A 26,581-nucleotide genomic window follows, 5' to 3' on the forward strand; every position below is an offset into this window, starting at 1 on the left:
TCAGAGTTTGAGGCAGAGGGGATCAGACCGTGCCATGGGTCATGCCAGGAGCCCAGGACTCCCAGACCTCGTATCATTAGGTGTTTTAAAGAGAAGGCGAGGGCAGGCCAGGCGCAGTGACTCACGCCTGTAATCCCAGCACTTTGGGAGGCCGAGGCGGGCGGATCACCTGAGGTCAGGAGTTCAAGAGCAGCCTGGCCAACATGATGAAACCCTCTAAAATTAATAATAAATTAATAATAAAATAATTATAATAATATAGAAAATAATATATAAAATAATAAATATATAAAATATAAAACAAAATAAAAATAAAAAATAAAATTAATATTAAAAATACAAAAATTAGCTGGGCACTGTGGTGGGCACCTGTAATCCCAGCTACTCGGGAGGCTGAGGCAGGAGAATTGCTTGATCCTGGGAGGCGGAGGTTGCAGTGAGCCGAGACCGTACCATTGCACTCCAGCCTGGGCAAAAGAGTGAGACTCCGTATTTTGAAAAAAAAAAAAGAGAGAATGTGAGGGTTAAACAAAGACACACAGAGATGGAGAAAGGGCAGCCTTACATCAACACGGGTACATTGCAAACACCTGCAGAGGTGGGGGACCAGCTGGATGCCAGAGCCCACTGCCGCCTACGGGCTGGGGTGCCTATAGGTATGGGTGGGAGCGGCCCGGGCCACACGGCTTCAGGATGAGGCCGTTTGTTTGGCCCTTGTTCCCGCAGAAGGTAATCGTGATGTTCCTCGGTGTTTTTCCCCGCAGAGTGTTCAAGTCAGGTGTCGGGCAGGCTGTTCCTCACGGCCCAAACCCCTGCGGAATGCTTCACTTTGGCCGAGGTCTGTGACACAGCGAGGGGCTTACAGAAAGGTGCAGTTTGGACCGATAGATGTGAGTCCCCCTCTGGGGGGCACTCACTTTGTGGAGCCCCCGGTTCCTGTTTGCAGAGGGGGGCACAGTGGCACCTCGTCCGCTGTGGAGTGAGAACAGGGACCCGACCACGTGAAGCACAGAGAATGCTCAGGGATCGGCAGCCGTGTATCCAGCCAACATCACCAGGGTGCACGCAGAGCCTGGCCCGGGCCAGGTCCTGGGGTGCTGAGCATGGGTGGGGCCTGAGAGACGGCTCAGGGACCATCCTGGGAGGGCCGGGCGGAGGGGCAGCAACTGGGGCTCAGGCTCAGGCAGTCCCAGCAGTGACTGGGAGGCAGCTGTGCCCATGAAGCTGTGCCCTTCTCCAGCCTCAGCCCTCAGCCCGGCTTCCCGGGCTGGCCCCGCCACTCAGCAGCCCCTCCCCATCCTCCGAAAACCCAAGCTCACCTCTGGGTTCCGGCTGGGTGGGGGTTGCCAGGAGACGGTTGCCAGGTCACCACTGTTGTTTCCTGGCCCAGGCTCCCAGGACCTTGTGGGCTGGGCAGGTAAGAAGCGCCGGCGGCCACCAGCTGGGGTCCAGTGGGCTCGGCCCCGCCCTCCTACGCCCTGCCTGCGGGTCCCCTCGGGAGGCTGCTCAGGAGAGGAGGAGGCTGGGGAGGGGACTGGACAGGGATCGGGTAGGGTGGGGCCAGGCTGAGCCTGCTCTGCGGGTCCCGGACCCCAGCGCCACCGTGCGAGAGGCTCGGGTCCAGGCCAGGCCGGGGAACGGTGTGTGTACCCGGTGGGGTGGGAGGGCTGGGCAGCCCTGGGACGAGCTCCGTGGCCTGGGACCAGGTCTGCCTCCGCAGAGCAAGTCCTGGACGGACGGCTGCTTGAGCCCACAGGTCGTGCGTCCTTTGACAGCGGCCTCCGGCCGGGAGGCACCAGCTCTTCGAACAATGTCAGTACCTTCCTAGGGCCCCACGTGGCCAAGCTTGGATTCTGGGGGGAGAACTCGCAGCAGGACACTAACATGTGGTCGCTTTTTGGATGATTTCTTCAGGTTTAAAAGTCTCTTCTGTTCATCCTACCGGGGTGCCGTCTCCTGCCGGTCTTTTCATCTCACCAGGTAAAACGCTTATTTTACAATTTATTGTAAGGTCGTGCACCAAGTTTCCACGCCGCCTTTACACCGTGTCCCCACCGAGGGGCGTCACAACCGTCCTCCACACCGGGCGTCACCGGCTTCCCAAGTCCCACCGCTATAAAGGACACGTCAGTCAGCATCTCGGAGTGAGACGCTTTCCTTCTGGATTCAGAATCGCGTCCGTCAGAGACTCCAAAGCACATTTGCTAGATCGACAGGCGTGAGGAGCCAGCGGCTCCCGGCGCTTGGGAGGCTGCGTCCCACCTGCATTCAGGCCCCGGGTTCACCACACACACAGCGGGCAGCTGCTTAAGAAACCTTTGATTTCAGTCCGGGGCGGTGGCTCACGCCTGTAATCCCAGCACTTTGGGAGGCCGAGGTGGGCGGATCACGAGGTCAGGAGTTTGAGACCAGCCTGGTCAACATGGAGAAACCCTGTCTCTACTAAAAATACAAAAATTAGCCGGGCATGGCAGCAGGCGCCTGTAATCCCAGCTACTCAGGAGGCTGAGGCGGGAGAATTGTTTGAACCTGGGAGGCGGAGGTTACAGTGAGCCGCGATTGCGCCATTGCACTCCAGCCTGGGCGACAGAGTGAGACTTCGTCTAAAAAAATTAAAAAAAAAAACACCTTTAATTTCAATGACAAGAAATAACAGCTCACAACTTATTTAGTTATTTGTGAACATCATAAGGACATAAAGTTAGAAAAGCCCAAAGGAGGCCTCAGGCTTACGATGAAATCAGCACCTGGCTGCCTCTTCCAGCTGCTGCTTCTTCTGCAGCAGAAGAGACGGAGGCAGTTTCCTGGGTGGGGGGGTGGGTGCTGTGCTTCCGCTTTCTAACTGCCTGTTTCCAAAAAGCACCTGATGCTGCTGCTTCTGGAGCTTCCAGTGCAGAAATTCCCCGTGGACGGTGAAAGGGGCTTGTCTTCCACACGCTGCCCTGTCCATATCATCCCGGCACGAATGATGTTTGGGGCAGAGCTGCCCGGCCTCCCCGGGTGGTGCCCATTTGTTTTCCTCAGAGTTGGCGATCGCCTTGCTTTTCACATGTGCTTGTGTTCCCGCCTATCCTGAGCTGTCCCTGAGCTCTCTGCCTCCCGTCACCCCCACAGTCACCATCACCACAGCCCTGCAGACTGCGCAGTGTGTGGCGGGTGCTGTCCTGACATTACATGTGGAAACTCCATCTTTGCAGCAACCCTGCGAGGCTGCTGCTCCCAGCTGCTGTGCAGGTGGAGAGAGGCTGCTGTTGTGCAGGTGGAGAGGCTGCTGCTCCCAGCCGCTGTGCAGGTGGAGAGAGGCTGCCACCGTGCAGGTGGAGAGAGGCTGCCGCTGTGCCGGTGGAGAGGCTGCTGCCGTGCAGGTGGAGAGAGGCTGCCGCTGTGCCGGTGGAGAGGCTGCTGCTCCCAGCCGCTGTGCAGGTGGAGAGAGGCTGACGCTGTGCAGGTGGAAAGAGGCTGACGCTGTGCAGGTGGAGAGGCTGCTGCTCCCAGCCACTGTGCAGGTGGAGAGAGGCTGACGCTGTGCAGGTGGAGAGGCTGACGCTGTGCAGGTGGAGAGAGGCTGCCGCTGTGCAGGTGGAGAGACTGCTGCTCCCAGCCGCTGTGCAGGTGGAGAGAGGCTGACGCTGTGCAGGTGGAGAGAGGCTGACGCTGTGCAGGTGGAGAGAGGCTGCCGCTGTGCCGGTGGAGAGGCTGCTGCTCCCAGCCGCTGTGCAGGTGGAGAGAGGCTGACGCTGTGCAGGTGGAGAGAGGCTGACGCTGTGCAGGTGGAGAGGCTGCTGCTCCCAGCCGCTGTGCAGGTGGAGAGAGGCTGACACTGTGCAGGTGGAGAGAGGCTGACGCTGTGCAGCTGGAGAGAGGCTGACGCTGTACAGCTGGAGAGGCTGGGGCACACAGTCATCAGGTCAGCTGCAAGCTCACAGCTGCTGCATCTTTTCCCTGACAGCTCACTCCTGTGAGAGTCTTCCAGGCTTCCCGGAGGGACGGATGTCTCCTCACCTTTTCCCACCTCCACACCTTTTCCCACCTCCACACCTGGTAGGCCAGGTATGGAATTCCTGGAATTCCCGGCTGGGAGCCTCCTGGGCCGGTTCCAGCCCTGTGTGTCCCCAGGAAGGCTGGAGGGCTGCTAGTGGCCTCGGTGGGCACCCAGGGCTGGCCAGGACCACACCTCCTTCCTCCGGCTCTGTGCCTGTATCTCCCCGGGCCTCCCCTCTCGCCTGGGGCTCCACGGTGACCCTGCTGTGCGGCACCTCGGATTTACACCCACAGTCCCATCCCCAGGGTTCCCTTCTGGGCAGTTTCCTTGACTTAAATCCCAACCCCGGTGTTGCATTTTTAATTCCCACCGGCTCTTTTGTATTCTCTGTGCCTTTGCTTTAAAAGCACGCGGCTCTCTGAGGGGTCCTGTCTCCATCACCCCAGCCTTTTCCAGGCTGGTTTGTTTCCCTGTTTCTCCCCTTTTCTCTTCCTCTGTGTGCGTCTGTGTGTCTGTGTGTCTACATGTCTGCGTGTCTGTGTGTGTCAGCGTCTGTGTGTGTGGGTGTCTGTGTGTGTGTGTGGGTGTCTGTGTGTGTGTCTGTGTGTACGTGTGTGTGTAGACGTGTCTGTGTGTAGGTGTCTGTAGGTGTGTCTGTGCATGTTTATAGGTGTGTGTGTGCATGTCTGTAGGTGTGTCTGTGCATCCATGTGTCTGTGTGTGTAGGTGTGTCTGTGCATCTGTGCAAGTGTCGACATGTCTGTGTGTGTCTGTGTGTAGCTGTGTGTCTGTGCGTGTGTGTGTGTAAATGTGTCTGTGTGTCATTCTTTTTTTTTTTGAGACGGAGTCTCGCTCTGTCGCCCAGGCTGGAGTGCAGTGGCACGATCTCAGCTCACTGCAAGCTCCACCTCCCAGGTTCAAGCTATTCTCCTGCCTCAGCCCCTCAAGGAGCTGGGACTACAGGCGCCCAACACCATGCCCGGCTAATTTTTTGCATTTTTAGTAGAGACAAGGTTTCATCATATTAGCCAGGATGGTCTCAATCTCCTGACCTCATGATCTGCCCGCCTCAGCCTCCCACAGTGCTGGGATTACAGGCGTGAGCCTCCGCGCCCGGCTGTCCTTGTGTCACTCTTCTTCACACTTGGGAGTCCCTCTGATGATGCCTGTTGGGCCTGGGCAGCCCCTTTGGCTGAGAGTCAGTACTTTAGAGGATCCCCTTCCCCAGCAGGAATCCTGGGTGCTGAGGGCCCATGAGAAGGAGCTGAGGTCTCCCATTTAATGCAGAGTCTTGCACGCACACACCTGCTCCGTGCCTGCGCAGGGTCCAGCCTCTTCCAAAAGTCCTCCTGTTCTGGGTGGGGAGGGGTCTCAGGGCTCCTGACTTCTTCCATTCTTGCCCAGCCCACCCTAGGAAGAGGGCGTGAGGCTCTCCCAGACACAGGTGGGGGGCCCAGCCTGTGTTCCGCTCCTCCCTGAGGACGGGTCCCAGTGGCCCCACCCGACTGGGTCATCGTGCAGACGGCTGCCTCAGTTTCCCCACCTTCCCCTGCCCGTGGGCTTCCTCGTTGTCTCCTTCCCTCCTGTCACTCAGGCGGGGCAGGGAGGGGCAGACACAAAGGCTTCCTGCGGGTGAGATTGGTGCCGAGCTCTGTGCCCAGCCTGGAGCCTCAGGCCTACCCCAGCCTTCTCCAGCCTCAGAGCCCCCACAGCCTCTGCCCAACACTGCCGTGTGCTCCCCTGTCTCCTGGGCGAGTTCCTTCAAACCCTTGAAAGCCCTCACCTAAGCCGGGCACAGTGGCTCACACCTGTTATCCCAGCACTTTCAGAGGCCGAGGCAGGCGGATCACCTGAGGTCGGGAGTTTGAGACCAGCCTGACCAACATGGAGAAAACCCATCTCTACTAAAAATACAAAAAGTTAGCTGGGCATGGTGGTGGGTGCCTGTAGTCCCAGCTACCTGGGAGGCTGAGGCAGGAGAATCGCTTGAACCTGGGAGGCAGAGGTTGCAGTGAGCCTAGATCGCCCCATTGCACTCCAGCCTGGGCCACAAGAATGAAGCTCCGTCTCAAAAAAAAAAAAAAAGTTCTCACCTCCCAAGCAGCCCCAAGATGGGTTTGTTTGCTGGAGACAGAGGTAGAAAGATCTGTCGAGGAACTGGCTGAAAATTCCTAAGTTGCAACATGGGAAGGTGTTGCTGGAGACAGTGTCCTGGGGGTCGGGCCTGGCACCCAGGGGCGGCCGCAGAGGAACCCTGATGGCAGGTACCAGGCGGCTGCACACAGCCCACAGCTGGGCTCCGGGGTCAGCAGCGGAGACAGAGAAGACCCCTGCTCAGGCCAAGGAGCCCTCCCACCCTCCATTCTTCAGGCAGGCGCCCCACCCAGCAGGCCTGACGCTGCCCCTCCTTCCAGCCGGCACCCAGGCCGAGCTCAGCCACACCTGAAGAGCCGCTCCGGCCAGGGAGGACATGCCCGGCAGAGACAGGGTGCAGAGACAGCCTCGCCCCCACACGGCGCCAGGCCCCACAGCTGCCACAGAGACGGGAGCCAGCCGCACGCAGAGGCTCAAGCCCACGGCCCTGGGAGGCGCCCTTTCCTGGGCAGGGTGGGCCTGACTGCCTGCTCCATCCAAGCACTGGGGCCTCGGGCCGCGCGGAGGTCCCACAGGAGGGTCAGAGCGGCATCTTCCCTTCAGGGCCCTCGCCCGGGCACCCCCCGGCCAATGGACCACAGCTGCACCCGGTTCATCCACCGCCGGGGACCACCCACTCGGACCCGAGCCGGCTTCAAGAGGGGCAAGAGGCCAAGGATCCAGCAGAGGCCTCGGGCTCGAGTCTCAGGTGAATAGAGCAGCCCTGGGTGGCCTCCTACCTCTCCAAGGCCAAGGCCTCCCTGGGACGGGTGCCCCATACCCAAGGAAGTCAGTCGGCCTCATGGGGCAGGGGCAGGATCCACACATGGCCATGCCCCGCTGCTCCGAGAGAGGGGCCAGCTGTGGGCGCCGGGCTCTGCAGGCACAGAGGGGAGCTGTCGCGCTCCGCGGCCCAGGGTTCCGCCTGGCTGGCACCACCCCTGGAAGGGCAGCCCCTCGTCTCCCGGCCTGACAATGGCCCCTTGGGTCACCCATGACATCATCATGGACATTGTGACCCCTGCCCTCCAGGGACCATCCCTGCGTCACGTCTGCACCCAGCACCGGCCTCACAGCCCGGCCCCTGCCCTGCACCAGGCCACTGCCCTGTTGGTGAGGAGGGTCGGAGGGGCGACCTCCCTGCCCCCTGCTCCAAGCTCCCCACCCCCACCTGGAACCTGCCGGCAGGAAGCCTGGCCCTGGAGGGTGGTCACGGCCCCTCCCCAGATGTAAGCAGTCCCCAGGCCGCCTGGTGGGGCCAGAGCTCGGGCTGAACTTGAGCCCCAGACGGGCCAGGGGGATTGTCCAGGGTATTGGAGAAATGGGCTGGGAGCAAACTGGCTGAGCCATGTCCGGGCTGAGTGGGCAGCTCCCGTAGCCACCCCGGTGGGACCCCACCCCGTTCACAGGCCCGGCCCACGAGAGGCCAATGGGGAGCAGCCAGGAGGAGGGACTCCGGTGTCAGCCAAGCCAGCCAGACCACGACGCAGATGGACACTGTGGGCCGGACCTGGAGGGGGCAGAAAGAGCCTCTGCCACACCCGGACCCCCTGGGCTCCTGAACAGCCACCGGCCTGCAGACTCGGATGACACTAACGCCGCCGGGCCCTCAGCTGCCCTCCTGGAGGGGCTCCTGCTGGGGGGTGGGAAGCCATCGCCCCACAGCACCCGGCCGGGGCCCTTCTTCTACATTGGAGGCAGCAACGGGGCCACAATGTGAGTAGCGGCCCTGGGCGCCCGTGGTCCCACTGAATACCCACCGCCTGCTCCCGGGGCCCAGCCCGGCCTCCGCTGGCCGCCCGCCATCCCCAACCCCTTGCCTCGGCCCCCAGGTCACCCCCGCCCCCACCCCTCGCAGCATCAGCTCCTACTGCAAAAGCAAGGGCTGGCAGCGCATCCATGACAGCCGCCGGGACGACTACACGCTGAAGTGGTGTGAGGTCAAGAGCCGAGACAGCTACGGCAGCTTCCGGGAAGGTAGCGGGAGCCGGCACCAGAGGCGGGCAGCCTGCAGGGGCCTCCTGGGCCGGAGCACAGGGCAGGTTGGAGGGGTGGGGACCGAGGTCCTGCGCTCCCTCCACACGAGCCCTGGCCTCTGACCTCCAGGAGAGCAGCTGCTGTACCAGCTTCCCAACAACAAGCTCCTCACCACCAAGATCGGGCTGCTCAGCACCCTTCGGGGACGGGCACGGGCCATGAGCAAGGCCAGCAAGGTGCCGGGGGGGGTCCAGGCCAGGTGAGTCTGCCCCTGCCCCTGCCCCCGTCCCTGCGCCCGCCCCTACGCCTGCCCCTGCCCCTGCCCCTGCACCCGCCCCACCCCTGCCCCTGCGCCCGCCCCTGCCCTTGCCCCTGCCCCTGGCCACCCAGGCTCCCAGGCTGGCTCCAGCCCCTGCCCCTGCCCTTGCCCCTGCCCCTGGCCACCTGGGCTCCCAGGCTGGCCCCAGCCCCCACCCGTCAGCACCTGCCTCCACCTTCCACCTGTCCTTTAAAGGGCCAAACCCCTGTCCCATAAACCCACCCTCTTCCTCGTGGCTGAACGGGGAAGATCCCACACGTCCCCAACCCACTGGGCCTGACACCCACCCACCTGTCCATCTCACAGACCCACCCAGGTACAACCCACCTGTCAATCTGCCTTCACCCCAAACATCCATCCAATCCATCCACAATCCCACACCGTGCCCACCGTCACCTGTGGGTGCCCTGAGTGAGGCCGTCCATCGCTCACCCAAGTCTGGGCCATCCATCCTAGCGACTTCGTCCTCCTGCTCCCAGCCCTGCCCACTGCCCTTCTATGGACCCACCTATCCCTCCTCACTTCATTTGGCCCAGACATTTTTGCACCAAGCACCCGCCCAGCCAACCGCAGCTGCCTCCATCTGCACCCCCCGCCCCTGGTTGCCTGTGACACCAGCTTTACACCATGTCCAGCGTCCACTTCCAGCCTAGAGCAACACAGCTGTTTCCCCCAGGCACCGCCGTCCACCCAGCCACCTCCTTCCACCACAACTCACAGTCCGCCCACTCACCACCCATGCCCCATCCCCCAGTCCCCACCCGCTCCAAGCACCATGAGCTGGCCCCTCAGTCCAGGCCCTCTGTCCCCTGGGCTGCAGGCTGGAAAAGGACGCAGCAGCGCCCGCCCTGGAGGACCTCCCGTGGACAAGCCCAGGATACCTCAGGCCACAGAGGTAGACTCAGCCCAGCTGTGAGGGGCCCTTCAGACCGAAGTTCAGACCTAAACCTGGTGTCGTCTGAAAAGGAGAAAGCGGGGCGGGGGTCCCACACAAAGGAAAACCACGAGCTAGAGTCAGAGGTTCAGCCAGGCCAGGCCGAGATCCACGCTGACCCCCCAGTGCACACAGAGCTGGGGCAGGGCCAGGGGCTCAGGCCACGCTCTCCGCCCATCCCAGCCGTGAGGACACTGCCATGAGGTGGTGGCTCACAAATGGCTGAGACGGTGCCAGCCGGGAGAGCAACCATGAGGGAAAAAGCAGCCAGCGGGAGGGGCCCGGGTGGGGGTCAGCGGCCAGAAGGATGCAGCCAGCAGCACAGCCCGTTGGGGGGGTGCTGCAAAGGGGCAGGAAACGCAAAGTCCCCACAAGGAGAACGGCCGCGGGCGCCAGGTGCCACTGCCCACACTCCCTCCCGCCGGGCCACAGGCTGGGCCTCAAACCGCCCACCCAGCCAGGGGCGAAGGGACAGCAGCTCATCCTCCTGCCTCCCTGCCCTGCAGGGTCCTGAGAATGGAAGAGTTTTTCCCAGAGACCTACCGCCTGGACCTCAAACACGAGAGAGAGGCCTTTTTCACCTTGTTTGATGGTGAGACGCTGCTGGCCGGACACCAGGCTGGCCCTGGGGAGACAGGGTGAGGGCTGGACCAAGGCGGGGGCTGATGAGGGCAGGGCTGGGTCTGGAGGGGCTGCGTGGGGCTGGGACGAGACGAGGTGGTCAGGAAGGGGCCAGGGCTGGGCCTGGTCTGGGTGGGGACTGAGGAGTTGGAAAGGGGAGGGTCTGGCCTTCGTGGAGGTTGGGGTATGAGGGCACTGGGGCCAGGGCTGGAGCTTGGTCCGGGTGAGCGTGGTCGAGGCACGGGCAGGAGCTGGGGCCAGGCGTGTGGTTAGCGCAGGGCCAAGGTTGGAATGGCCGGGCCGAGGGTCGCAGCCTGGAGGGGAGGGTCCTGGTCGGGCCCTAGGAGGGGCGTGGCTGGGTTGGGGGCGAGGCCAGGGGCTCAGGCCGCGCTCTCTGCAGAAACCCAGATATGGATCTGCAAGCCCACAGCCTCCAACCAGGGCAAAGGCATCTTCCTGCTCCGGAACCAGGAGGAAGTTGCCGCCCTGCAGGCCAAGACCCGGAGCATGGAGGACGACCCCATCCACCACAAGACGCCGTTCCGGGGGCCTCAGGCGCGGGTGGTGCAGAGGTGCGGCGGCGGGTGCCCGGAGGGGTGAGGGTCTGGGCTGGCTGACCCGGGCCCCACTGGTGCAGTCAGCAGGGCCGCCGAGGAGCCCTTGGTCGTGGAAAGCAGCCGCACCACCAGCCCCTGTGCAGACCACAGCCGGGCCCCCGTGTAGCCAGCAGAGGGGAGGGGTCACACCAGGCCGGGGTCACAGACACAGGATCCAGGGTTGAGGGGTTAGTCAGTTTGTCCTTCAGCTGGGGCCCCCTCTGTCCTGCAGGTGGCCTGGCCTGGGTGGCCTCCCGGCTGCCAGCCCCCCTACTCCCCGGCCCAGCCAGCCAGCTGCAGCCTTCAGGCCTATGGCCAAGCTGACCACTCCTTCCCTGAGTGGGAAGGCTTCCTCCAGAAAGCCCCGTGGCTGCACGAGGCTGAAGGTTTAGACCTGTCGACCTCACCCCCGGCCCTCGTAGAGCCTCACTCTGACCACAGCTGCCGTCTGCCGTCCCCAGCTTCCATCGGCTCCTCCCTCGCGTCCCTCCACCTGGCGAGCTCTCCGCCTGGCGCACCCCCTCTGCCTGCTGTGCTCCCTCTGCCTAGCGCCCGCCTGGCGCGCTCCTTCCCTTCCTCTCCAAAGCCACCTTCATGCCCTCCTCCTCCAGGCAGCCCTCCAGGCTCCTACTGCGGTTATGCCCTGGAGCACCCATCAGGGTGCCAGGCCTTTCCTCCCAATTCCCCTGACATATTCAGGCCCAGAAATGCCCCCTTTCCCTGGAGGTCACACCTGGGACAGAGGCGGGGCGCTGAGGAAATGGAACAGGCCCGGGGTGGGGTGTGAGGGGATGCAGGCCAGGCTGGCCCCGTGGCTCAGCCCAGCAGCCCCGACATGGTGCCCCCAGGTACATCCAGAACCCGCTGCTGGTGGACGGGAGAAAGTTTGACGTGCGCTCCTACCTGCTCATTGCCTGCACCACACCCTACATGATCTTCTTTGGCCACGGCTATGCTCGCCTCACCCTTAGCCTTTACGACCCCCATTCCAGCGACCTCGGCGGCCACTTGACCAACCAGGTGAGTCTGCCATGGGTGAGGGCCCTCCCTGCAGCCTTGGGATGAGATTAGAAGGAGGTTCTCACTGCTAGGGGGTGCAGAGGGGGTGCAGCTACAGAAGGAGGTGGCCCAGGCCGGGAGGTGTCTCAGGCCTGGAAGTAGCCTGGGCTGCCCCCGCTGGCAGTGAGCACTGCCTCTCACCTCCCGCTTTTGGCCACGTCAGAAGAAGGGCGTGGCAGGGACCCCGTTAGCTGGTGAAAGGGCTCAGAGCCCTGTAGCCCTCAGCGTGCAGCCTGGCTCCCAAGCCGCAGCTGAGTTTTCTGAGGATGGGGTGCGGGTGGGCGTCGGAACCGAGGGGATTCTGAGGCTGTCAGAGGAGGGGCCCTGTGGGCAGAGATTTCTGGGGACGGGTCTTCATGGGAGAGTCCAGGGTAGGGACCTTCTGAGAAGATCTGTGGGGTCCTCACGGCTGAAGGGGGGTCTCAGCGGATGAAGGTTTTTGTGGGAGGGTCTTTGCAGGCAGGTCAGGGTGGGGCCGGGGGAGCAAGGTTAGGGGCGGCTGTCTCAGGGACCCCCAGAGAACAGGCCTTCTAGGTTAGGGGGATGTTCTCTTGGGGACCCCCGTGAGGACAGGCCCTCCGGACAGTCTGGGAGCCAGTCTCCAGGCACCGTGTGCCCCCAGTTCATGCAGAAGCCTTCTAGGTTAGGGGGATGTTCTCTTGGGGACCCCCGTGAGGACAGGCCCTCCGGACAGTCTGGGAGCCAGTCTCCAGGCACCGTGTGCCCCCAGTTCATGCAGAAGCCTTCTAGGTTAGGGGGATGTTCTCTTGGGGACCCCCGTGAGGACAGGCCCTCCGGACAGTCTGGGAGCCAGTCTCCAGGCACCGTGTGCCCCCAGTTCATGCAGAAGAAGAGCCCTCTGTACATGCTGCTGAAGGAGCACACGGTGTGGAGCATGGAACACCTCAACCGCTACATCAGTGACACGTTCTGGAAGGCCCGGGGCCTCGCCAAGGACTGGGTCTTCACCACCCTCAAGGTGCGTCCACTGTGCCCTCCAGTCTGGGAGTGAGATCCCTCGGGGCGGGGGTGTGTGGTCAGGCTGGGCACCAGGCACACAGATGTCCGTGGCGTGCGTGGGCGGCTGCGCTGAAGTGTGACCTGACCGTGTGGAACCAAACCCTTCCAGCGTCTCTGCTCACTTAGCTGGCAGTGCCTGTCCCCAGCAGCCAGCAAAGGCCCGGACGGAAAGCCCAGTCGGGGGTCTGTCGGCACGAGTCCCGCGGGCAGCCTCGCCGTAGGGTCAGGGGACAGCTCGGCTTCAGTGACAGCCACCATGTGAAGAGTCTTTGTTCCTTTCAGATCCTCCACTTGGCAGGCAGGGCCAACAGCAGCCCCCGGGCCAGGTGTCCTGGAGCAGCAGCAGCTGCCCGTGCAGGCCCGGACTCTCCCTAGCTAAGGGCCATGTGCGGTGGAGTGTCCTAATTTTGCAGGGTTCCTTTCTGTGGGGGTACCTGTGGGGTACTTCAAACAGCCCTAGCAGCAAAGGCCCTTGAGCAGCGCGGTGTGAAACTGGGATAAAAACGGGGCTTGGCCGAAGGACTTTTATCTGTCTTGGTCACCCCGGCCAGGCCCCGGAAGCAGCAGCCAGGGATGGTCCTTCCTCACCCACAGGCGTGTGTCACTGTGGCTGGGACGGCAGCGCTCAGAGGAGCCTCCAGTTACTTTCCTCACATCTCCCAAACTCTCTCTTAATTGCGATAATTCACAGAACATAAAATTCACGATCTTAAAGTGTGCAGTTCAGTGGCTTTTAGTATTTCAAAAGTTGTGCAATTATCACCACCAATTCCAGAACATTTCATCACCTCAAAAAAGAAACACTACTAACGAGCCATCACAGCTACATTGCCGGCCATTCCTGGTCACCGCTGATGGACCTTCTCTCTCTCTCCTGTCTCCTTTCTCTTACCGTGGTGTTTTCAGGGTTCATCCACGTAGTTCACGTATCCTTTTCTTTTCTTTTTTTTTTTTTTGAGACAGAGTCTCACTCTGTTGCCCAGGCTGGAGTACAGTGGCACAATCTCAGCTCACTGCAACCTCCACCTCCTGGGTTCAAGCAATTCTCCTGCCTCAGCCTCCCAAGTAGCTGCAACTACAAGTGCCCGCCACCACGCGCGGCTAATTTTTGTATTTTTAGTAGAGATGGGGTTTTGCCGTGTTGGCCAGGCTGGTCTCAAACTCCTGACCTCAGGTGACCCGCCCGCCTCAGCCTCCCAAAGTGCTGGGATTACAGGCGTGAGCCACTGCACCCAGCCATGTATCCCTTTCATACAACGTTCCGTCATATGGATGGACCATATTTTGCCATCAGCTGGTGGACACAGTTTTATTATTGAGCTGTTATGAATAATGTTGCTATAAATATTCACACAAAAATGTTTGTATGAATATATATTTTCAGTGCTCCTGGGAAAATACCCAGGAATGGAGTCGTGGGTCACAGGGTGACACACTTAACTTTCTGAGGAACCAGGAATCACTTTTCCAGTTTCTCCAGATCTCGCCAACACTTGTTATTTTCCTTTCTTTATTAAAGAATCACCATCTGGTCGGTGTGCAGGGATATCTCATTGTGGGTTTGATTTCCATTTTGCTAATGACAAATAACTTCATGTGTTCACTGGCCAGCTATGTATATTCTTTAGAGAAATGTCTATTCAAACGCTGTGGCTGTTCTTTACCATCCAGTTGTGAAAGTTTTTTTTGTTTGTTTTTTGTTTTTTTTTTTTTGAGACAGAGGCTCGCTCTGTCGTCCAGGCTGGAGTGCAGTGATGTGATTCTCGGCTCACTGCAAGCTCCGCCTCCCGGGTTCACGCCATTCTCCTGCCTCAGCCTCCCGAGTAGCTGGGACTACAGGCGCCCGCCACCACGCCCGGCTAATTCTTTGTATTTTTAGTAGAGACAGGGTTTCACCGTGTTAGCCAGGATGGTCTCGATCTCCTGACCTCGTGATCTGCCCGCCTCGGCCTCCCAAAGTGCTGGGATTATAGGTGTGAGCCACCGCGCCCGGCCAAAAGTTCTTTACATATTCTAAACACTAGGCCTTTATCAGACATATGATTTGCCAATATTTTTCTGGAATATTGTGGCTGTCTTTTCACTTTCTTGATAATGTCCTTTGACCACAAAAGCTTTTAGTTTTGATGAAATCCAGTTTATCCATTTTTTTCCTTTGGTTACTCATGCTTTTAGTATCATATCTAAAAATCCATTGTGCCAGGTGCGGTGACTCACGCCTGTAATCCCAGCACTTTGGGAGGCCATGGTTGTTAGATCACCTGAGGTCAGGAGTTCAAGACCAGCCTGACCAATATGGTGAAACCCCATCTCTACTAAAAATATGAAAATTAGCCAGGCGTGGTGGTGGGTGCTTGTAGTCCCAGCTACTTGGGAGGCTGAGAAAGAAGAATTGCTTGAACCCGGGAGGTGGAGGTAGCTGTGAGCCAAGATCGTGCCACTGCACTCTAGCCTGGGCAACAGAGCAAGACTCCATCTCAAAAAACAAAAAAATAAAAATCCATTGCACTTTGGGAGGCTGAGGAAGGTGGATCACCTGAGGTCAGGAGTTTGAGACCAGCCTGGCCAATGTGGAGAAACCCCATCTCTACTAAAAATACAAAAATTAGCTGGGTGTGGTGGCGTGCACCTGTAGTCCCAGCTACTCAAGATGCTGAGGCAAGCGAATCACTTGAACCCGGGAGGCAGAGGTTGCAGTGAGTGGAGATCGCACTGCTGCACTCCAACCTGGGTGATGGAGCAAGACTCCATCTCAAAAAAAAAAAAAAATTGCCAAATCCAGCAGAGTGAAAATTACACTTATGTTTCTTTCTAAAATGGTATAGTTTTAGCTCTTATATTTAGGTCTTGGATCCATTTTCAGTTAATTTTTGTGTATGGTGTGAGTTAGGGATCCAACAGCATTCTCTTGCATGTGGCTATCCAGTTATCCCAGCACCATTTGTTGAAGAGACTATTCTTTCCCCCATGGAATGGTCCTGGCATAGTATCAAAAACCAATTGACCAGAGCTGCAAGTGTTTATTTTTGGACTCTCAGTTCCATTCCATTAGTGTATATGTCTGTCTTTATGCCAGTACCACATGGTTTTGATTGCTGTAGCTTTGTAGTAAGTCCTGAAATTGGGATATGTGAGTCTTTCAATATTGTTCTTTTTCAAGATTATTTTGGCTATTCAGGGGCCCCTTACAATTCCACAATTCCATATGAATTTTAAGATTGGCTTTTCCATTTCTGGGGAAAAAGTCCAATGAAATTTTTTTTTTTTTTTTTTGAGACAGAGTCTCATTCTGTTGCCCAGGCTGGAGTGCAGTGGGGCAATCTCAGCTCACTGCAGCCTCGCCTCCCAGGTTCAAGCGATTCTCCTGCCTCAGCCTCCCTAGTAGCTGGGATTACAGGCACCCACCACCACGCTCGGCTAATTTTTGTATTTTTAGCAGAGACCAGGTTTCACTGTGTTGGCCAGGCTGATCTCGAACTCCTGACCTCAGGCGATCTGCCCACCTCAGCATCTCAAAGTGCTGGGATTACAGGTGTGAGCCACCACACCCAGCCTCATCGAAATTTTAATAGGCATTGCATTGAATCTGTAAGTCACGTAGCAGTGGCATCTTAACAATATTTAGTCTTCCGATCCATGAATATAGGATGTCTTTCCATTTTTCTAGGTCTTCTTCCATTTCTTTCAGCAATGTTTTCTAGTTTTCAGCATACAAGTCTGTCACCTACGGTAAATATTATTCTAGGTATTTTATTATTTTGACACTTGTGAATAGAATTATTTTTTAAATTTCCTTTTTGGATTGTCCATTGCTAGTGTATAAAAATAAAACTGATTTTTGTGTGTTGATCTTGTATCCTTCAACTTTCCTGAATTCACTTATTAGCTCCGTGTGTGTGTGCACTCTTCAAGATTTTTATATAAGGATCATGTCATCTGGAATAGAAACAGCTTTACCTCTTCCTTTCAAATTTATATGCATTTTATTTCTTTTCTTACATATTGCCGGCTACTTCCAGAACAATGTTGAATAGAAGTAGCAAAAGCAGTCATCCTTGTTTGTTCCTGATCTGAGGAGGAAGGCCGTGGGTTTCTCATAAATGCCCTCGTCAGGTTGAGGAAGTTCCCTTCTGTTCCTAATTGGTTAAGTGTTTTTTGTTAATATCCTAGAAGGATGTTGAAATCTGTCAAATGCTTTTTCTGTCTCCACTGAGATGAGTGTGTCTTATTTCCCCTTCATTCTATTAATGTGTTGTATCGCACTGATTAACTTTCATATGACAAACCCCGCTTGATGATGGTATAGAACCATTTAAATTTAAATATGCTGTTGGATTTGGTTTGCTAATATTTTAATGAGGATTTTTGTGTCTGTGCTTATAAGCAATACTGGTCTGTAGTGTTCTTTTCTCGAATGTCTTTGCCTGGGTGGTATTAAGGTAACCCTGGCCTCATAGCATGTTAGGATGCATTCTTTCCTCTTTTATTTTTGGAGTCTTTGTGAAGGATTGCTGTTAATTCTTTGTTTGAAATAATTCACCAGTAAAGCCACCTGGGTTTTCCTCTGTGGGAAAGTTTATTATTATTATTACTAATACTGCTGCAATCTTTACTTGTTATAGGTCCATCCAGATTTTCTAATCTTTAGTCTGCTTTATTTTGCTAAGAATTTGTCCATTTCACCAGGCACGGTGGCTCATGCCTATAATCCCAGCACTTTGGGAGGCCGAGGAAGGTGGATCATGAGGTCAGGAGATCGAGACCATCCCGGGTAACACGGTGAAACCCCGTCTCTACTAAAAATACAAAAAATTAGCTGGGCGTGGTGGCGGGCACCTGTAGTCCCAGCTACTCGGGAGGCTGAGGCAGGAGAATCGCGTGAACCCGGGAGGCGGAGCTTGCAGTGAGCCGAGATCGCACCACTGCACTCCAGCCTGGGGGACAGAGCGAGACCCCGTCTCAAAAAAAAAAAAAAAAGAATTTGTCCATTTCTTCTAGGTTATCTAATTTGTTTAGTGTACAAAGTATTCCCTTGTCATCCTTTTAATCAATATAAAGTCTTTCTCCCCTGATTTTAGTAATTTGATTCTTCTCTCCTTTTTTTTTTTTTCTTTTTGGTCAGTTTCTCTAAGTCCTTATCAATTTTGTTGATCTTTTCAATGAACCAACTCCTGGTTTCACTGATTTTCTCTACTGTTTTCTATTCCATTTATTTCCACTCTATCTTTATTATTTCCTTCTTACTACTTGCCTTGGGTTTAGTTTGCTCTTCTTTTACTAATTTTTTTTTTTTTTGAGATGGAGTCTTGCTCTGTCGCCCAAGCTGGAGTGCAGTGGCACGATTTCAGCTCACTGCAACCTCTGCCTCCCGGGTTCAAATGATTCTCCTGCCTCAGCTTCCCGAGTAGCTGGGACTAAGGGCACGTGCCACCACTCCCAGCTAATTTTTTTGTATTTCTAATGGAGATGGGGTTTCACCATGCTGGCAAGGCTGGTCTCAAACTCTCTTTTTCTAATTTCTTAAGGTCAAAAGTTAGGTTATGATTTCAGTTTTTTCTTCTTGCTTAAGGTAGGTGCTTAGTGCTATACATTTTCCTCTGACCACCACTTTTGCTGCATCCATAAGATTTTGCGTGTTGTCTTCATTTTCATTTGTCTCAAAGTATTTTTATTTTTATTTTTTATTTTATTTGAGATGGAGTTTCGCTCTTGTCACCTAGGCTGGAGTGTAATGGCGCAATCTCAGCTCACTGCAGCCTCTGCCTCCCGGGTTCAAGCGATTCTCCTGCCTCAGCCTCCCGAGTAGCTGGGATTACAGGCACCTGCCACCACGCCTGGCTAATTTTGTTTGTATTATTAGTAGAGATGGGGGTTTCACCATGTTGGCCAGGCTGGTCTTGAACTCCTGACCTCAGGTGATCCGCCTGCCAAAGTGCTGGGATTATAGGCGTGAGCCATGATGCTCAGCTGCAAAGTATTTTAAATTTCCTTTGTAAGCTTTTCTTTGACCCATTGGTTGCTTAAGGGCCTGTTATTTAATTTCCACATATTTGTGATTTTTCCAATTTTCCTTCTGTTATTGACTTCTAATTTCATTCCATTGTGTCAGAGAACATACTTTATAATTTCAACCCTTTAAAAATTATTGAAAAATTATTGGAGCTGGTGTGTTGGCACATACCTGTAATTCCAGCTACTCAGGAGGCTGAGATGGAAACATTGCTTAAGCCCAGGAGTTTGAGTCCAGCCTGGGCAACACAGCAAAACCCCATCTTTAAAAAAACAACAAACTTACTATTCATTAAGTGGATCATTAAAAAACAAAAACAAAAAACACTTGAAACTTGTTTATGTCCCAGCATATGGTCTATCCTGGAGAATATCCATGTGCACTGGAGAAGGAGGTGTATCCTGTTTTTGGGTGTAGTGTTCTGTAGATGTCTGTGCCGAGACCAGCTCGGTCGGGGAGACCCTAACCCGGCGGCGCTAGAGGAATTAAAGACACACACAGAGAAATACAGAGGTGTGAAGTGGGAAATCAGGGGCCTCACAACCTTCAGAGCTGACAGCCCTGAACAGAGATTTACCCACATATTTAGTAACAGCAAACCAGTCATAGCATTGTTTCTATAGATATTCAGTTAACTAAAAGTATCCCTTACGGGAAACGAAGGGATGGGCCAAATTAAAGGAATAGGTTGGGCTAGTTAACTGCATCAGGAACACGCCCTTAAGACACAGATCGCTCCTGCTATTGTTTGTGGCTTAAGAACGCCTTTCAGCGGTTTTCCGCCCTGGGCGGGCCAGGTGTTCCTTGCCCTCATTCCCGTCAACCCACAACCTCCCAGCGTGGGCGTTAGGGCCATTGTGAACATGTCACAGTGCTGCAGAGATTTGTTTATGGCCAGTCTTGGGGCCAGTTTATGGCCAGATTTTGGGGGGGGGCCTGCTCCCAACATGTCTGTTAGGTCTGTTTGGTTTATAATGTTGTTCGAGTCTTCTATTTACTCGTTAATCTTCTGTCTCTGTATTGAAAGCGGGATATTCAGTTGTCTACTTCTCCCTTCAGATCTGTCAGTTTTTTGTATATTTCGAGGCTCTGTTGTTGGGTGTGTGTATGTTTATGATTATTAGATCTTCTTGGTTTATCGTTATAAAAATTTTCCTTTAATCTGCAGTAATAATTTTTGTGTAAAGTCTATTTTCTGTGATATGAGTGTAGACACTCCAGTTGGTATAAGTGTAGACACTCCAGTTGATATGAATGTAGACACTCCAGTTGGTATGAGTGTAGACACTCCAGTTGGTATGAGTGTAGACACTCCAGTTCGTATCAGTGTAGACACTCCAGTTGATATCAGTGTAGACACTCCAGTTGGTATGAGTGTAGACACTCCAGTTGGTATGAGTGTAGACAATCCAGTTGATATCAGTGTAGACACTCCAATTGATATCAGTGTAGACACTCCAGTTGGTATGAGTGTAGACACTCCAGTTGGTATGAGTGTAGACACTCCAGTTCGTATCAGTGTAAACACTCCAGTTGGTATGAGTGTAGACACTCCAGTTGATATCAGTGTAGACACTCCAGTTGGTATGAGTGTAGACACTCCAGTTGTTCATATCAGTGTAGACACTCCAGTTGGTATGAGTGTAGACACTCCAGTTGGTATGAGTGTAGACACTCCAGTTGGTATGAGTGTAGACACTCCAGTTCTACTTTGGTTACCGTGTGTGGTACATCTTTTTCCATCCCTTTACTTTCCACCTATTTTTGTCTCTGAAACTAAAGTATCTTTTGTAGATGGTATATCATGTTTTTTTAAGAAACTCCGTCAATGTCTATTAATTGGAAAGTTTAATTCACTTACATTTAATATAATTACTGATAAAGGGCCGGGCACGGTGGCTCACGCCTGTAATGCCAGCCCTTTGGGAGGCCAAGGCAGGTGGATCACAAGGTCAGGGATTGAGACCATCCTGGCTAACACGGTGAAACCCCGTCTCTACTAAAAATACAAAACATTAGCCAGGCGTGGTGGTGAGCAACTGTAGTCCCAGCTGCTCGGGAGGCTGAGGCAGGAGAATGGCGTGAACCCAGGAGGCGGAGCTTGCAGTGAGCCAAGATTGCGCCATTGCACTCCAGCCTGGGTGACAGAGCGAGACTCCGTCTCAAAAAATAATAATAATAATAATTACTGATAAGGTAGGATTTACATATGCTATTTTGTTATTTGTTTTCTATGTCTGTCTTTTTTTGTTCCTCAGTTTCTCCATTACTGCCTCCTATTGTTTTAGAGAGATATTTTCTAGTGTAGCTTTTTTTTTTTGAAACGGAGTTTCGCTCTTGTTGCCCAGGCTGGAGTGCAGTGGCGTGATCTCGGCTCACTGCAGCCCCCGCCTCCCGGATTCAAGCGATTCTCCTGCCTCAGCCTCCCTAGTAGCTGGGATTACAGGCGCATGCCACCACACCCGGCTAATTTTTTGTATTTTTAGTAGAGACGGGGTTTCACTATGTTGGCCAGGCTGATCTCAAACTGCTGACCTCAGGTGATCTACCCGCCTCAGCTTCCCAGGGTGCTGGGATTACAGGCGTGAGCCACCACGCCTGGCTTAGTGTAGCATTTTAATTACCTTGTCATTTATTTTACTATATGTTTTTGAGTTATTTTAGTGGTTGTCCTGAGGATTACCATTAATATTGTATCTTAATTTACTACAATTAGGGTGAGTGTGGTGGCTTATGCCTGTAATCCCAGTGCTTTGGGAGGCTGAGGCAAGAAGATCATATGAGGCCAGGCATTTGAAAGCAGCCTGGGCAACATAGTGAGACCCCATCTCTAAAAAACAAAATTAGCTCAGCATGGGAGTGTGCACCTGTAGTCCTCCTAGCTATTTAGGGGGCTGAGATGGGAGGATCACTTGAGCCCAGGAGGTCAAGGCTGCAGTGAGCCACAATCAAACCACATTACCCCAGCCTAGGTGACAGAACAAGACCCTGTTTCTAAAATAAAAAATGTTTTAAAATAAACAATTCAGTTTTTTATTAATACCAAGTTAATTTCAAAAGCATACAAAAACACACTGCTCCTAAAAGTATACAAAAACACTCCTCCTACACAGCCCCACCCCTCTCATGCTGTTGTCACAAATTACAGCTCAGTATATTTGTGTCCATCAACATGGATTCATAATTATTGTTGTATACAGTTGTCTTTTAGGACAAAACAATCACATACAAAAAAATACATGTATGCTGTCTCTTATATTTAATTACACAATGACCTTTTCTGGGGCTCTTTATTTCCTCCTGTGAGTTCCAGTTACTGTCTAGTGTCTTTTCATTTCAGCCTGAAGGACGGTAGGGCGGGTCTACCTTTGTTTATCTGGGAATGTCTTAATCTCCCCTTCATTTTTGAAGCAGCTTTTGCTAGATGTAGAATTTTTGGTCAACAGTATTTTTACTTTTGGGAATTTGTGCCATCCCACTGCCTGCCCACCTCACGACCTCTAATGAGAAACTGGCTGTTCATCTTTCTGTGGATGCCTCATACATAACGAGCGGCTTCTCTCCTGCTGATTTCGACGTTCTCTGTCTTTTGGAAGTTTGCTGATGAGGTGGTGGATCTCTGAGTTTATCCTACTTTGAGTTCATTGAGCTTCTTGAATGTGTAGGTTGTTTTTCATTAAACTGGGAAGTTTTCTGCCATTATTTTTTCAAATATTGTTTCTGCTCCTTTCTCTTCTCTCCTTCTGGGACTCCCATTATGCATATGTTGGTCCATTTGACAGTGTCCCACCCACAAGTCTCTGAGGCTTTATTTTTCTTCCCTCTCTCTCTCTCTTTCATTTTTTGTTTTGAGACAGGGTTTCTGTCACCCAAGATGGAGTGCAGTGGTGCAATCTCAGCTCACTGCAGCCTCCTCCTTCTGGGCTCAAGCAATCCTCCGGCCTACCAGCCTCCCAAGTAGCTGGGACTACAGGCACGCACCATCACATCTGGCTAATTTTTGTATATTTAGTAGAGACGAGGTTTCACAATGTTGGCCAGGCTGGTCTCAAACTCCTGACCTCAAGCGATCCCCCTGCCTTGGCCTCCCAAAGTGCTGGGATTACAGGTGTGAAGCCACTGCACCCGGCCTCCTTTTTCTTTCTGTTCCTCAGACTAAATAATCTCAATTGGCCTATCTGCAAACAATTCAAATCTGCTGTTGAGCACTTCTAGTGCATGTTTTATTTGTTCTACTTTTGTTCTACTTTTCAACTTCAGAATTTCTATTTGATTCTCTTTTATAATTTTTCTCTCTTCACCAGTATTCTCTATTATTTGATAAGACATCATCGTCATACTTTTTTTTTTTTTTTTTTAGTTTTAGTAGAGGCAGGGTTTCACCATGTTGGCAAGGCTTGTCTCGAACTCCTGACCTCAGGTGATCCACCCACCTCAGCTTCCCAAAGTGCTGGGATTACAGACGTGAGCCACTGTGCCCGGCCCATACTTCTTTTTTTTAGACAGTCTCACTGTGTCACCCAGGCTAGAGTGCAGTGGCACAATCTCAGCTTACCACAGCCTCTGCCTCTTGGGCTCAAGCAGTCCTCCCACCTCAGCCTCCCAAGTAGGTGGGACTACAGGCATACACCACCACGCTTAGCTAATTTTGCTAATTTTTTGGTAGAGACAAGGTCTCCCTATATTGCCCAGGCTGATCTCAGACTCCTGAGCTCAAGCGATCCTCCTGCCTCAGCCTCCCAAAGTGCTGGGACTACAGGTGTGAGCCACGCGCCCGACCAACTTGTGTATTTCTAGTAGAGATGGGGTCTCACCATGTTGGCCAGGCTGGTCTCAAACTCCTGAGCTCAAGCAATCCTCCTGCCTCAGCCTCCCAAACTGCTGGGACTACAGGTGTGAGCCACGTGCCTGGCCCTCACACTTTCTGTTAGTCCTTTCAAATGGGATCTTCCAAGGAACTACTAGACATAAGAAAACAAATAATGACAATTTTTTTTTATAAATGAGGTCTATTTTGCTATCTCCAGTTCTGGGGATGCATGCTGTTGGTTTTTTGAGGCAACCATTGAGCTGGGGAGCAGAGGATGAAACCAGAGCACGTTAAAATACAACATAATTCACAGTTCTTACCAAGATTCGAGATTTTACGTATCCCATTTGCTATCCGTCTCTTCTGCTCAAGGGCAGAGATTTCCTGTGAGTTTTCCTCACTCTCGTATCTCCAGTGCCTGACACAGGACAGGAGCTGCACGAGTTTGTTGAGTGAGTTTCTGGCTGTGAACCTGTGAGGCTGAGTGCACGAACGTGTGGGCAGGTGTGGCTGTACAGGTGCGGGTTCAGATGGGAGTGCAGGTGAGGGATGTGGCTGTGGCTGTTCAGACCTGGGGTGTGATCAGGGCCTACGGGCCGCAGCCAGGATGCCTCCCTGCCTCCCTGCAGAAGCGGATGCAGCAGATCATGGCCCACTGCTTTCTGGCCGCCAAGCCCAAGCTGGACTGCAAGCTGGGTTACTTTGACCTCATTGGCTGTGACTTCCTGATTGATGACAACTTCAAGGTGCTGTCCTGGGCGGCGGGGGGCACAGTAGACAGATGCAAGGAGGCAGGGGCCATCTGTACACCCTGACCACACTGGCAGGCCCCAGGCAGAATCTGCAGTCAGCCCCCACCCTGCCTGCATGCAGCCCTGGGGATGGGTGTATCCATGAGGCTCACCCCCTGTGCAGCTAGGATGGAACTGCACCCCCTCCTCAGAGCAGCCCCCTCAGGCCAGAGCTTCAGACCCTCAGAGCTTCAGTGGACAAACAGGGGAGCAAGGCTATAGGAAGGAAGCAATCTCCCAGAGCCATCTGTCTGAATGAGGACCAGGGCCTCTGCCTCCTGCTGGCCCAGTGGGCTCGGGGTGAGGAGGGACTGACTGGCGTCTGGGGCAGGTATGGCTGCTGGAGATGAATTCTAACCCAGCCCTGCACACCAACTGCGAGGTCCTGAAGGAGGTCATCCCAGGTGTGGTCATCGAGACCCTGGGTGAGCCTCCAAGCCCCCACCCCACACCCCCACAACCTGCCCAGTCTTGAATGCCTACCTGCCCTCTTCCCAAGTTCAGACCCCCACAGATGGGGCTCTTCCACCTCCCGAGGGCCTGTGTGGCAGCGCCGCCCCCTGCCCCAACCTTCCCCACACCTCAGCTCACCTGGGTCCCACCCCTCACACCCTCCCCACCCCCTCCAGCCCCAGCCTCTGCCCCCCACTCACCCTCTCTCCCCCACCCGCACCAGACCTGGTGCTCGAGACCTTCCGGAAGAGCCTGCGCGGCCAGAAGATGTTGCCTCTGCTGTCCCAGCGCCGCTTCGTGCTCCTGCACAACGGTGAGGCCGACCCGCGGCCGCACCTGGGGGGCTCGTGCAGCCTCCGCCGCTGGCCGCCCCTGCCCACCCGCCAGGCCAAGTCCTCCGGGCCACCCATGCCGCATGCCCCAGACCAGCCGGGCGCCCGCAGGCCTGCGCCACCTCCCTTGGTGCCGCAGCGTCCCCGGCCACCCGGCCCCGACCTGGACAGCGCCCACGATGGGGAGCCCCAGGCCCCGGGCACGGAGCAGTCGGGCACAGGCAACAGGCACCCGGCGCAAGAGCCTTCCCCGGGGACAGCCAAGGAGGAACGCGAGGAGCCTGAGAACGCGAGGCCCTAGGGGCAGCCACCCGCGCCCAGCGCCCCGCGCCCCGCGCCCCAGCCGTGCTGCCTGCCCTCAGGGACCTATAAAGCCCACTTTGCTACAAACACAGTCTCTGCAGCAGAGTCCTGCCACCTCAGCGCCCCTGAGCCCATGCCCACCGGGGTCACCCCCACCACACCAGCACTGGCCTGAAAGATGCTCCCCTGGGACTTCCCCAGGCCCCCACTAGCCCCCAGTCCATGGCTGGGCCCTGTCCCTGGGGAGACTGTGCTGAGGGAGGGGGTCTCCGCGGCTGGGCCCAGTCCTGGGGGGCTGTTCTGAGGGAGGGGGTTCCCCACGGCTGGTCTATACTCCCTCCCGGGCTGCCCCATCCTGGGCTCCCGCCCACCACCCTGTGCCCCTCAGCACCTGGGCCCTCCTGCCGCCCTGTGACCCCACGGCCCCCATGGCCTGGCCGGTGATCCACCATTGCCTGTCATCCCCAGGAAGGGTCTGAACCCCTCTGGAGCTCCAAAGGAGGAGCCCCTTGAGCCCAGGATTGCTGCCGTGGGCACCCACAGAGCTCGCCCCAGCCTGCCTGGCACAGAACCTTCCTGGGCCTTTAAGCCCCAAGCCTGGCGCTCCAGCTCCCTGAGCCCCCAACCTTCCTGCAGTGGCCCCAGGACTTAGCCAGGGGTGAGGGGCACAGGGCAGCTAGCCCCAACAAGAGGGTCCCACAGAAGACATGCTAAGCCCACACTGGCCAGGCCCTGGTCAGCCCTGTGTAGCCGCTGATGGTTCTGTTCCCCATGGGTCTGGGGGTTTGCGAGGAGAGCTCTGGCGTCCCGGGGCCTCTGAGGCGTCCACACTACCCACCCCCTCACTCATCTCCCACCCAGAGAGCTAAAGTGTATGGGCCTCTTCCCAATGGCTGGCTCAAGGTGTCTGTGCCCCCCAAGTCGAGACCTGAGGATCGGGGGGCCCCGCCCCCAGGCCCACCCCCCACATGCCCTGCCTCCGACTCCACACGGTCACGGCCAAGTCGCCGGTCCCTCCTCCTGCCCTGCTCCGCAGCCACGGGGGACTGAGGGGCCAGCAGAATCTGCTTTGGCCACGTGGCCACCCTGCGCTCCACAGGGACAGCAGCTCCATTCCCTGGGACTCGGCAGCCCCGGCACTGCTAGAAGGCACCGTCGGCTGTGGTCTCTGGCCAGCACAGCAGGTGGGGCACAGCCAGGGCGCCAGGAAGAGGAGAAGGCAGGACAGAGGGAACTGGGGA

The 26,581-nt window shown here is 55.3% G+C and overlaps 1 protein-coding gene and 1 long non-coding RNA gene across 16 annotated transcripts, besides 4 other annotated features; one reads left to right on the forward strand and one right to left on the reverse strand.

The window, feature by feature from the left end:
- Positions 1–546: 546 nt before the first annotated feature.
- On the reverse strand, positions 547–7,046 carry TTLL10-AS1 (TTLL10 antisense RNA 1). Its single transcript, NR_173246.1, has 2 exons — positions 6,856–7,046; positions 547–3,887 (listed from the first exon to the last, which is right to left on the reverse strand). It is a non-coding gene; the product is annotated as a TTLL10 antisense RNA 1 (long non-coding RNA).
- On the forward strand, positions 1,371–25,427 carry TTLL10 (tubulin tyrosine ligase like 10). 15 transcript variants are annotated; one of them, XM_047416842.1, is made up of 17 exons: positions 1,371–1,417; positions 1,707–1,812; positions 1,915–1,980; positions 6,397–6,589; positions 6,680–6,824; positions 7,148–7,228; positions 7,525–7,831; positions 7,974–8,092; positions 8,222–8,351; positions 9,232–9,306; positions 9,852–9,937; positions 10,367–10,538; positions 11,411–11,582; positions 12,460–12,600; positions 24,091–24,207; positions 24,584–24,677; positions 24,929–25,427. In XM_047416842.1, coding segments are annotated over exons 2-17 (2,310 nt in total). In that variant the 5' UTR covers positions 1,371–1,417; positions 1,707–1,810; the 3' UTR covers positions 25,339–25,427. The 15 variants fall into 15 exon arrangements, with proteins under 15 accessions (XP_047272798.1, XP_047272797.1, XP_047272799.1 ...); XM_047416841.1 differs by having other exon boundaries at positions 6,397–6,824; XM_047416843.1 differs by having other exon boundaries at positions 1,721–1,812; positions 6,397–6,824.
- Positions 1,521–1,610: a silencer, noted in NCBI's record as "silent region_43". NCBI's record gives its function as "represses an Ori minimal core promoter by ATAC-STARR-seq in GM12878 lymphoblastoid cells {active_cell/tissue: GM12878}" and the evidence as "EXISTENCE:reporter gene assay evidence [ECO:0000049][PMID:35858748]".
- Positions 3,088–3,606: an enhancer, noted in NCBI's record as "H3K27ac-H3K4me1 hESC enhancer chr1:1110977-1111495 (GRCh37/hg19 assembly coordinates)". NCBI's record gives its function as "activates a minimal SCP1, AML or CMV promoter by ChIP-STARR-seq in naive H9 embryonic stem cells {active_cell/tissue: H9 hESC(naive)}" and the evidence as "EXISTENCE:reporter gene assay evidence [ECO:0000049][PMID:30033119]".
- Positions 6,662–7,161: an enhancer, noted in NCBI's record as "H3K4me1 hESC enhancer chr1:1114551-1115050 (GRCh37/hg19 assembly coordinates)". NCBI's record gives its function as "activates a minimal SCP1, AML or CMV promoter by ChIP-STARR-seq in primed H9 embryonic stem cells {active_cell/tissue: H9 hESC(primed)}" and the evidence as "EXISTENCE:reporter gene assay evidence [ECO:0000049][PMID:30033119]".
- Positions 19,286–19,486: a silencer, noted in NCBI's record as "peak5 fragment used in MPRA reporter construct". NCBI's record gives its function as "represses an SCP1 promoter by STARR-seq MPRAs in K562 erythroleukemia cells {active_cell/tissue: K562}" and the evidence as "EXISTENCE:reporter gene assay evidence [ECO:0000049][PMID:32103011]".
- Positions 25,428–26,581: the final 1,154 nt, after the last annotated feature.

This window comes from Homo sapiens, chromosome 1 (assembly GCF_000001405.40).
Source record: "Homo sapiens chromosome 1, GRCh38.p14 Primary Assembly".
NCBI lineage: Eukaryota > Metazoa > Chordata > Mammalia > Primates > Hominidae > Homo > Homo sapiens.